General features: G+C 41.1%; 1 pseudogene, besides 1 other annotated feature; it reads left to right on the forward strand.

Annotated features, from left to right (window-relative positions):
* GLUD1P4 (glutamate dehydrogenase 1 pseudogene 4) lies at window positions 2,762-4,756 on the forward strand (annotated as a pseudogene).
* Window positions 7,341-7,400: an enhancer, noted in NCBI's record as "active region_13416". NCBI's record gives its function as "activates an Ori minimal core promoter by ATAC-STARR-seq in GM12878 lymphoblastoid cells {active_cell/tissue: GM12878}" and the evidence as "EXISTENCE:reporter gene assay evidence [ECO:0000049][PMID:35858748]".

Genomic DNA, 11,850 nt, shown 5'->3' on the forward strand with positions numbered 1-11,850 from the left:
AAACAAATGGAAGAACATTCCATGCTCATGGATAGGAAGAATCAATATCATGAAAATGGCCATACTGCCCAGGGTAATTTATAGAGTCAATGCCATCCCCATCAAGCTACCAATGACTTTCTTCACAGAATTGGGAAAAACTACCTTAAAGTTCATATGGAACCAAAAAAGAGCCCGCAGAGCCAAGACAATCCTAAGCAAAAAGAACAAAGCTGGAGACATAATGCTACCTGACTTCGAACCATACTACAAGGCTATAGTAACCAAAACAGCATGGTACTGGTACCAAAACAGATCTATAGACCAATGGAAGAGAACAGAGGCCTCAGAAATAACACCACACTTCTATAACCATCTGATCTCTGACAAACCCGACAAAAACAAGAAATGGGGAAAGGATTCCTTATTTAATAAATGGTGCTGGGAAAACTGGCTAGCCATATGTAGAGAGCTGAAACTGGATCCCTTCCTTACACCTTATGTAAAAATTAATTCAAGATGGATTAAAGATTTAAATGTTAGACCTAAAACCGTAAAAACCCTAGAAGAAAACCTAGGCAATACTATTCAAGACATAGGCATAGGCAAGGACTTCATGACTAAAACTCCAAAAGCAATGGCAACAGAAGCCAAAATTGACAAATGGGATCTAATTAAACTAAAGAGCTTTTGCACAGCAAAAGAAACTACCATCAGAGTGAACAGACAACCTACAGAATGGGAGAAAATTTTTGCCATCTATCCATCTGACAAAGGGCTAATATCCAAAATCTACAAAGAACTTAAAAAAATTTACAAGAAAAAAACAAACCACCCCATTAAAAAGTGGGCAAAGGATGTGAACAGACACTTCTCAAAAGAAGACCTTTATCTCATCATCACTGGTCATCAGAGAAATGCAAATCAAAACCACAATGAGATACCATCTCATGCCAGGTAGAATGGCAATCATTAAAAAGTCAGGAAACAACAGATGCTGGAGAAGATGTGGAGAAACAGGAACGCTTTTACACTGTTGGTGGGAGTGTAAATTAGTTCAACCATTATGGAAGACAGTGTGGCGATTCCTCAAGGATCTAGAACTAGAAATACCATTTGACCCAGCGATCCTATTACTGGGTATATACCCAAAGGATTATAAATCATGCTACTATAAAGACACATGCATATGTATGTTTACTGCAGCACTATTCACAATAGCAAAGACTTGGAACCAACCCAAATGTCCATCAATGATAGACTGGATTAAGAAAATATGGCACATATACACCACGGAATACTATGCAGCCATAAAAAAGGTGAGTTCATGTCCTTTGCAGGGACATGGATGAAGCTGGAAACCATCATTCTCAGCAAACTATCACAAGGACAGAAAACCAAACACCGCATGTTCTCACTCATAGGTGGGAATTGAACAACGAGAATGCTTCGACACAGGGCGGGAAACATCACACATCGGGGCCTTTCAGGGGGTGGGGGGTCTGGGGGAGGGATAGCATTAGGAGAAATACCTAATGTAAATGACAAGTGTATGGGTGCAGCGAATCAACATGGCACATGTATACATATGTAACAAACCTGCACGTTGTGCACATGTACCCTAGAACTTAAAGAATAATAATAATAAAAAAAGAAAACCTAAAAAAAAAAAAAGGAAAAGTCAGGGAAGGCTATTTTTCAAAAATATTCATATTGTACAGTTGATTGGATAAAGAAAATGTGGTATATAGACATCATGGAATATACCATGCAACCATACAAAAGAATGAAACCATATCCTTTGCAGCAACATGGATGGAGCTGGAGGCTGTTATCCTAAGTGAAACAACTCAGAAAATCAAATACTGCATGGGCGCTAAACAATGGGTACACATGGACATCAAGATGAAAATAATAGATACTCAAGACTTCAAAATTGGGGAGGTCGCTAGGGGTGTAAGGGATGAAAAATCGCCTATTGGGTACAATGTTCATTATTTGGTTGATGGGTTCACTGGAAGCCCAAACCTGACTATTACGTAATATATGCAGGTAACAAACCTGTACATGTATCCCCTGAATCTAAAATAAAATTTAAAATGTCAATGTTGTAAAAGACAGAGAAATGTTCCAGGTTAAAGGAAGCTAAAGAGCCATGGCAAATAAAACCAATACCTGACCCTAGACTGGAGTCTATGCTGGGGGGCAAGGATGTGCGGCACACAAGGATGTTCTACAGGAAATTATTAGGTCAAAACTGACGGAAATGTAATATGGACTGTAGATTAGGTAAACGTATTGCATCCATGGAAATATATGAAATTGATAACTTTACTATGGATATGAACCAATAGTCTCTTATGTAAAAGACTATTCCTACTCCATATGGATATCTGATAGATAGATAGATAGATATGATATATACATGTATGTACGAGGTATCTACATCCCCTTTGAGAGGAAAAGCAGACACCATAATTATGCCAGGACAATAGGTGCAAACCAGGACAGTCCTGGGCAAATCATACCTTGAGTCACTGGTGTCCTTGGCTAGGACAGTTTTGGTGGCGTATTGAGTGCAAAGCCCAGTGTGTGTGGGTTCAGGAAAGAATGGAAGGAGGAAAAGTGAAAACAGTGCGTATGAACAACTGTTTCAAGAAGGTTTCTTAATGGAAAAAAAAATGAGAGAAGTTGGCAGAGGCAGGAGGCAAAGTGAGGTCCAGAGACGGAGTTTTTAAGATGGGAGAACTAGGAGTGTGTGTGACAGGGAGGAAATGAAGTCAGGAGCATTATGGTTATTCCAGATCTCTACATGAATGCCAAAGGAGAGACAGCATCCAACTTTGAGTGGCTGAAGAATCTAAATCATGTCAGCTATGGCTGTTTGACCTTCAAATATGAAAGGGAGTGTAACTACCACTTGCTAATATCTGTTCAAGAGAATTTAGCAAGAAAATTTGGAAAGCACAGTGGAACTATTCTCATTATACCCACAGCAGAGTTCCAAGACAGGATATCAGGTGCATCAGAGAAAGACACCATGCATGCTGACTTGGTGTACGCAATGGAGAGTTCTGCCAGGCAAATTTTGTGCATAGCCATGAGGTATAACCTGGGATTGGACATGAGGACCACCGTCTATGTCAACGCCATTGAGAAAGTGTTCAAAGTATACAATGAAGCCAGAGTGACCTTCACGTAGATGGCTCATGGGTGACTTCCTTGCTACCCTCTTCACCTGTAACTTCTGCAGACCTACCACAGGTTTACATGTTACCACAGAAATCCCCTTCTCTCTTGACTCATTAGATAATGGACACTATTCTTAACAAATCGATCCAAATCAGCTCCCTAAGAAGAAAGTAATTAAGGTTAGGGGATCATGTACACTCTGATGACGGTGAAAGTAGAAATCACTGACACCAGAGAGAGAGACATGTAGGTGTGTTGCCTCTAAATGAAAAGTCTCTTCCATCTGGCTGTGCAGCCTTGCTCTGTGGCTCTTCCCAACACAGTCAGCAACTGTTGCCAGGGAAGGCACAGTCAAGAGCAATCAGATGCTTACTTCTTTGCTCTGGACGAGACTGGGAAGTGCTGTAACTTTTCACATATTCAGAAGGTGACATGGGGGCCGGGCGCAGTGACTCACGCCTGTAATCCCAGCACTTTGGGAGGCCGAGGCGGGCGGATCATAAGGTCAGGAGATTGAGACCATCCTGGCTAACAAGGTGAAACCCCATCTGTACTTAAAAAACAAAAAATTAGCCGGGCGTGTGGCGGGTGCCTGTAGTCCCAGCTACTCGGGGAGGCTGAGGCAGGAGAATTCCCAGAACCTGGGAGGCGGAGCTTGCAGTGAGCCGAGATCGCGCCACTGCACTCCAGCCTGGGCGACAGAGCAAGACTCCGTCTCAAAAAAAAAAAAGAAGGTGGCATGGTCCTCACATGAGTTATTGAAGCAAAATAACTCAATTTTACAGGATGCAAACAAAAATAAAAGCTGTTTCTGCTTATTAATTTTATTCTTCTGGAAAAAAATAAGTAATGCTGCTGTAATAAAATTGCTTTTAATCTCTTAACAAGCCTAACCTTGATTCAAGCAGTGAATGCCTACAAACATAATAAATTTAAAAAGCTAGTATTTTTATATCATAAAACAGTACCATTTAGAGCTTATCAGCCATGTATTGTTATCCAGCAAAAATAAGAAGCCCTATGGAGAATTAAATTATCTTCATACCTACAAAAATGCTGGAGGGCTATTTCTGTGAAGACGGTCGGAGTTTGCTGACTATAATTATGACACATAGTCCAAAGAATGCAGTAACCTCCTTATCATGTTAACAAATTGTTCTCTTTTGAAGGTCTATGGTTGACTAATTGAACAATAATTCAAATAGAATGTTCCAGAAAAAAAAAAAAAAAGTGGGTTCCCTGTTTGGAGATTGGCTGGCCCTGAACATCCCTTGCTAATGGCCTCTACTCAGCCTGACTTTGTGTCCTCTTCTTTTAGAGGCTTTGCATTCTGCACCCAGGTGCACAAACAGTGGGTTGAAAACAACCTTGGGTTGAATGTTTTGTTTGGGAATTATTTGGCCAGGTCCTTTTGAACAGTAGTGTCCCAGTCAAATGCTAAATAATAATATATGCAAAAATGAGCTTAAAAAAAACCTGTAATGCCCTTTCAGAATTCTAACTACTTTGTAACTGCATGACTTAACCTGGTAATAAAAGCAGTTATTAAAAGTCTACCTTACAAAAAAAATCTTCTCATCTCTGTAAATCAACAGGGATGGAAAACAAACCTATACTGCCACCCAAAAGACAAAAGAATTTAGAGTTTAGTAAAAGCGGCATTTTAAATGGGGAAAAGGTACATTATTGAATGAATGATGTCAGAACAATTCAGCACATGAGAAATAAAGTGACAACACTACAAATTCCAGACTGATCAAATATTTAAGTTGAAAAGCTTATCCAAGAAAGTACTCCAATAAACTACACAATAGTTTTGTTTTACAACCTCAGAAAAGGAAAGTCCTTTCTAAGCATAACAGGAAAACCTAAACTATAACAACATTTTGTGGCCAGGTGCGGTGGCTCACGCCTGTAATCCCAGCACTTTGGGAGGCTGAGGCTGGTGGATCATGAGGTCAAGAGATCAAGAACATCCTGGCCAACATGCTGAAACCCTGTCTCTACGAAAAATACAAAAAAAATTATCTGGGCGTAGTGGTTCACGCCTGTAGTCCCTGCTACTTGGGAGACTGAGGCAGGAGAATGGCTTGAACGGGGAGGCAGAGGATGCAGTGAGCCGAGATCTCACCACTGCACTTCAGCCTGGCGACAGAGTGAGACTCCATCTCAAAAAAAAAAAGAACATTAAAAGAACATTTTGCATGGCAAAAACCATCATAAGCAGCAAAGTTGAAAGACAAACGATACACTGGAAAACAATATTTGTAACTCTTATCTCAGACAAAATGTAAACTAACCTAATATATAAAGAGCTCCTACCAACCAATTAGAAAAAAACAACATCATAGAAAATTGGGTAAAGTATAAGGAGACAATTCACAGAGAACAAATCAGATGAAAAATTACTCAATATCACCCATAATAAGAGAATGCAAAATAAAAATAAAATAAATTATGTTTTGCCTTGTTTTATCCATCAAATTATCAGTAACAAAAAGACCGGCAGGGTGTGGTGGCTCACACCTGTAATCCCAGCACTTTGGGATGCTGAGAAGGGTGGATCTCTTGAGGTCAGGAGTTTAAGACTAGCCTGGACAACATGGTGGAACCCCTTCTCTACTAAAAATACAAAATTAGCCAGGCACGGTAATGCACACCTGTAATCCCAGCTACTCAGGAGGCTGAGGCAGGAGAATCACTTGAACCCAGGAGGCGAAGGTTGCAGTGAGCTGAGATCGCACCATTGCACTCCAGCCTGGGCGACAAGAGTGAAACTCTGCCTCAAAAAAAAAAAAAAAAAAAAAAAAAAGACTGATAATATAGTTTGTTGGTATATGAGAAAACTGCACTCTTGCACATTACTCATTGAAATGCAAATTGATTGAATTTGTAATTGTAATTAAAATATTTCTTTATATTGCATTTTAAAGCTTGCTTTTTTGGCTGGGTGCAGTGGTTCACATCTGTAATCCCAATACTTTGGGAGGCCAAGGCAGGTGGATCACTTGAGGTCAGGAGTTCAAAACTAGCCTGGCCCATATGGTGAAACCCCATCTCTACTAAAAATACAAAAATTAGCCAGGTGTTGTGGTGGTCGCCTGTAATCCCAGCTACTTGGGAGGCTGAGACAGGAGAGTTGCTTGAACTGGGGCGGCGAAGGTTGCAGTGAGCCAAGATCGTGCCACTGCACTCCAGCCTGGGTGAGAGGGTGAGACTCCATCTCAAAAAATAAAAAAAAATAAAGCTCGCTTTTTAGGTAATGTCTCAATATTCAAGCATTTGGTTTACCATTGACCCTTGAATAATAACAGGTTTGAGCTGCAAGGATCCACTTACACACAGATTTTTCCCCCACCTCTGCCACCCCTGAGACCAACGCCTCCTCTTCTTGCTCCTCAATTTTCTTAACATTTTTTCTCTAGCTTACTTTATTGTAATAATCTAGTATATAATACACATAAAAATATGTGTTAATTGACCGTTATATTATCAGTAAGGCTTCCCGTCAAAAGTAGGCTATTACTAGTTAAGTTTTTGGTGAACCAAAATCTATACCTGAATTTTTGACTGCATGGGGGGTTGGCATCCCTAACACCCCACTCTGTTCAAGGGTCAACTGTATTTATATTTATATTTAATTTTTTTATGTAAAGAAAGGGTCTCACTCTGTCACCCAGGCTGGAGCACAGTGGTGTGATCATGGCTCACTGCAGCCTCAACTTCCTGGGCTCAAGCGATCCTCCCATCTCAGCCTCTTGAGTAGCTGGGACTATGGGCATGAGGCACTATGCCCAGCCTGTATTTATATTGCAAAGTATAAATAAATAGGAAATTTTACTAATTTTTCCCTAGCTGAGTACACTTAATGAATTCTTCAATTTTGAATCATCACCATCACTTGGCGAGAGCATACAACTAATTTCATGTTCATAACCTTTTGAATGAGAAATTGATCTCTTGAAAAATGAATTTATACTAGCCTTAGTGGTCTCACACACCAGTGTGTCTTATTTTTCTCCTATTAGGCCTGCCCTCTACTCCCCTCACCATCACACACACATAACAGAAACCTGAATCTTCAGATATCTTTAACCCATCAATGGCCACGTCACATCTCCACAGGAACCTCACTAGATTCTCCAGATCTCACCTTAGACTCTATCCAGAAATCAAGGTGGTGCTTTTTGTTGTTTTTTTGTTTTTTTTATTTTGTCTTTGGATCGTTAGGGGTATCAAGAGCCTTTAGCTCAAAGCTGGTCCCAGCTGGTCCACTAGATGTCACTGTCTTGTAAATTAATAGTGCTTTACCTACAAACTCCATCCCTGACATGGCACTGAAGGGACACCAGGCTAGTTCCAAAGAGCAAGTATTAGTCCGTGTTACGCACACGTCCACTCTTAGGGGAGGGACAGGAAGAGGCAGGCTGTCAGAAGTCTGGCAGGAAGGGAGGGCTCTGAACATTGAAAGAATGCTGGGGATGGGAATCTGAGTTGATCATGCAGTGTGTGGTGAAATGTATCTGAATGAAGAAGGGAGTGAGACAGGCGAAGACCCTGAACGAAGAGCATGCCAGGAAGAGGAACAGCAGGTGCAAAGACCCAGAGGCTGAGTGAGCCAGAGTCCGGTCGGGAGGAGGCTAAAAAGACAGGCCTCACGGGGACTTGCAGGGCTTGGTAAAGTGTGCCCATTTCATTCTGAATGAAATGGGAAAACATTGGAAGAATCTGTGATTTTTGGCTTTTCACGGAAAAGCCCTCAAAATCTACCTAGATGTAATCATGAGGAAACACCAGACAAACCCAAACTGAGGAACTTTCAATCAATTTTACAAATTGATAATTTGTAAATTATCAATGTCATAAAAGATAAAGAGAGGCTGGGAAACCATTTGAGAGTAGAGGAGATTAAATGACAACTAGATGCAAACTGTGGCTCTCGACTGGATTCTGGAGGGAAGGAAAAACAATGCTCTGATGGGCATTATGGGGACAGTGGATAATATTCGAACATGAATTATAGATTAGATAACATAATGAAATTAATATTAAATTTCCTGGCTGGGCACGGTGGCTCACACCTGTAATCCCAGCTCTTTGGGAAGCTGAGGCAGGCAGATCACCTGAGGTCAGGAGTTCAAGACCAGCCTGGTCAACATGGTGAAACCCCATCTCTACTAAAAATACAAAAATTAGCCAAGTGTGGTAGCGGGTGCCTGTAATAACAGCTACTCGGGAGGCTGAGGCAGGAGAATTGCCTAAACCTGGGAGGTGGAGGTTGCAGTGAGCCGAGATCATGCCATTAAACTCCAGCCTGGGCAACCAAGAGTGAAACTCTGTCTCAAAAAAAAAAAAAAAATTAAATTAAATTTCCTGAAGTTGATAACTGTGCTATGGTTATATAAGAGAATATATCTTATTTTTAGAATACCCACAATGAAGTTTTAAAGGGGAAAGTGGATGGTTTGAGGTTTGAATACACTGGTAGATGGCAGGAAACCTGCAAACTGCCATCCTCAGAAGCGGAGTCTGTAGGTTAAGTATATGCATTTGACCATTCAGCCACCCCTACCCCCAAAGGGGAAAAGGACCTCAGTAAGGAGGTCACAAATCTAAAATCGTGATCCTTACAGCACTCATTTTTACAGCATTTCTGTTAATATTTGTGCTAATTTTTTTCATCCCCAAAGCAGTTTCTGTTGTTTCTGTATCTCTAGAAAACTTTCAAAAGAATATTCAACTATCCACTTGCAAAGACTTAGATAGCTGCTTCTTATCTCAGGGGATGACAGTCACCCTTTGATAATGTGATTTTTAAAAACCTTTGCTCAAATACGGTCACAGTCTCAAATTTCCTCACAACTGACCTTCCCAAACAGCACTGGCTTTCATGCAAGAAAACCATCCTTAACATGTAATCCTTGTGCTTAAAATGCCAACTCAAAAATGTGACAAGAGATTAAGCTCTGAGTAAACAGTGGGAATAAATCGCACTAGTTTGGAGCACACATTTTGTCTGTTTATTAATATGAATGTTGGGAGTTATGGGAAATATAACAAGTGACAAAGATGGTTTGGGCCGAAATGGCCATTCTTCACCACCCATTAGTCAACAAGCATTTTTATGAACACCTATTATAGGCAAGATGTTGTGCTAAGTGCTGTGAATATAAAAATAAACATGATATCTACTTCCAAGTTTGCACCTTTATACTAGAGGACCTTGGCAAGTTTCAGGGAAGCTCAAAAAAGAGAATGATATTCAATTTTATTTTATTTAAAAGTTTAATTATTGCCGGGCACGGTGGCTCACACCTGTAATCGCAGCACTTTGGGAGGCCAAGGCAGGCAGATCACCTGAGGGCGGGAGTTCGAGACCAGCCTGACCAACATGGAGAAACCCTGGCTCTACTAAAAATACAAAATCAACTGGGTGTGGTGGCAGGCACCTGTAATCCTAGCTACTCAGGAGGCTGAGGCAGGAGAATCGCTTGAACCTGGGAGGCAGAGGTTGCAGTGAGCTGAGATCGAGCCATTGCACTTCCGCCTGGGCAACAAGAGCAAAACTCCTTCTCAAAAAAAAAAAAGTTTAATTAGTCAGGCATGGTGGCATGTGTAGTTCCAGCTACTTGGGAGACTGAGGCAGGAAGATCGCTTGAGCCCAGGAGGTTGAGGCTGCAGTGAGCCAAGACTGTACCACTGCACTCCAGGCCTGGGTGATAAAACAATGCCTTGTCTCGAAAAAAAAAAAGAAAAAGTTTAACATTTTGTGGGGCATGTCTGATAGTACCTTCAAGGAAACAGAAACTCTTGTTGACCGTGGGATGAGATGCACAGGCTGATAACTTTCCAAATGAAACAACAACAGCAGTAACAACAAAGTAGGCATAGTCCTTGCATTTTAGAAATTTTATGAAAAATTAAAGCAAATCCAGAAAAATTATGGTAGTGCAAAAGGGATTCTTATTAAGAGAAGTCTAGAGAAATTGAGGTTATATTGCCTAGAGAGGGCAATAATTAATTATGGCCTTAAAGTGTATAAAAGAATGCTTCATGAGAAGAGTTATTGCTTAGTTTCTCTCCAGCTTCACTGAGATATAACAGAAGAAATTAGTTAAAATTTTAAAGAAGACTTTTTAATTAACCAGTTGGATCTCTTGATCTTGGAAAATCAAACCCAGAAATGAGCCACCACAGGTTTCTGAGATTTCTGTTTCTAGAGCGTCTTCAAAAGAGTACACAACTATCTCCTCCTAAAGCCTTGGAGATCTGCTTCTCACCTGAGTAGATGGCAACCACCATTGCTGCTGCTGATGAAATGGCAATAGAAGCCCATTACCCAGCCCAGTGTTCCCACCAGGGCTCCTGTAGTACCTGAGATTCTCACATTAGCCAGTCCTTTCAGATTAAGGCATTCAAGGTATCAATTAAAATGTAAATGTATCTGATGAGGTGACACATTCCACTATTATGAGCCATGAACACCTCATCTCGTTATCAAATGGGTAAGTCACCTATCAGTGACCCCTAGTTAATAAGAGACAAAACAAGCGCCTTTTGATGGTAGAGAAGAAGTTGGGAAAATCCTGGGACTTGAGAAAATCTGAATTTAGATGGTAGTGAAGGAACTAAAGAAACTTCGAGTTTTTCTGGGGAGGAAAGGTCGAGGTGGGTTGCCACTGTTAGTGGCCTCACCTAGGGATCCAGGTGACAGAGCACTGAGCATTTGGGCTTGGCTTCTTGCATCATGTACTTTCTGTTCTTCTCTCCTTCCCTCCCCTGCCTCCCCTCCACTCCCCTTCCTTGTGCAATTATTTCTGGAATTATCACCAGGCACTTCGCTAAGTGCTAAAGGCACCGTCCTAGGTTCTGCACAGGCCTTGAACACATTTTAGCTCCATTGAGTTTCCCAAAGGAGAATGCTGTTATTCGTGTACTGCACAGAATTAAGTTGATTCCCTCACCTCTTTTTGTTCATGAGGACTGTCAGTCCTAGACCAAAGAGCACGTTTCAGGAAAAGCCTTCATTCCCAAGCCTCATCTCCACCAGCAGCAGCAGCAGCAACATAGACAGCCAGCAGCCCTGAGGCCTGTGGGCCTTAGAAACCAAACCCATGTGATCCTTGCCAGGCCAACACTTACCCTGCAATTCATGTTCACTTTGTCTGATTCACTCTGTCATATTTTATTTTTTAGCCCAAAGAGTCTGTTGGTTCTTTCCATTAAGATGGGATTTGTGAACCTTTCTGTTGTTTCCTGAGGACGTGGTGCGCAGTTAATTTGTGGAGCTGCGTACTGACTGTTGCTGCCTCCTCTGTAACCTCTTCATTTAAAAAAAAAAACAAAAACAAGCCTGGGCAACGTGGTGAAACCCCGTTCCATAAAGAAATGCAAAAACTAACAAACAAACCAACAAACAAAACAAAAATTAGCCAAGCATGGTGGCTTGCACCTGTAGTCCCAACTACTTGGGAGGCTGAAGTGGGAGGACTGATTGAGCTTGGGAAATCAAGGCTGCAGTGAGCAGAGATCGCATCACTGCACTCCAGCCTGGGTGACAGAGAGACACCTGGCTCAAAAATAAGGAAATAAAATAAATAAAAACCAAAAGTTACCTGTAGGTATGTTTAACTTAGAAAGCTCAATTCACTTAGCCATTCAATTTGTATTTTTTCTAAA

The sequence above is a fragment of the Homo sapiens genome, chromosome 18 (genome assembly GCF_000001405.40).
Source record: "Homo sapiens chromosome 18, GRCh38.p14 Primary Assembly".
In the NCBI taxonomy this organism is placed as follows: Eukaryota; Metazoa; Chordata; class Mammalia; order Primates; family Hominidae; genus Homo; species Homo sapiens.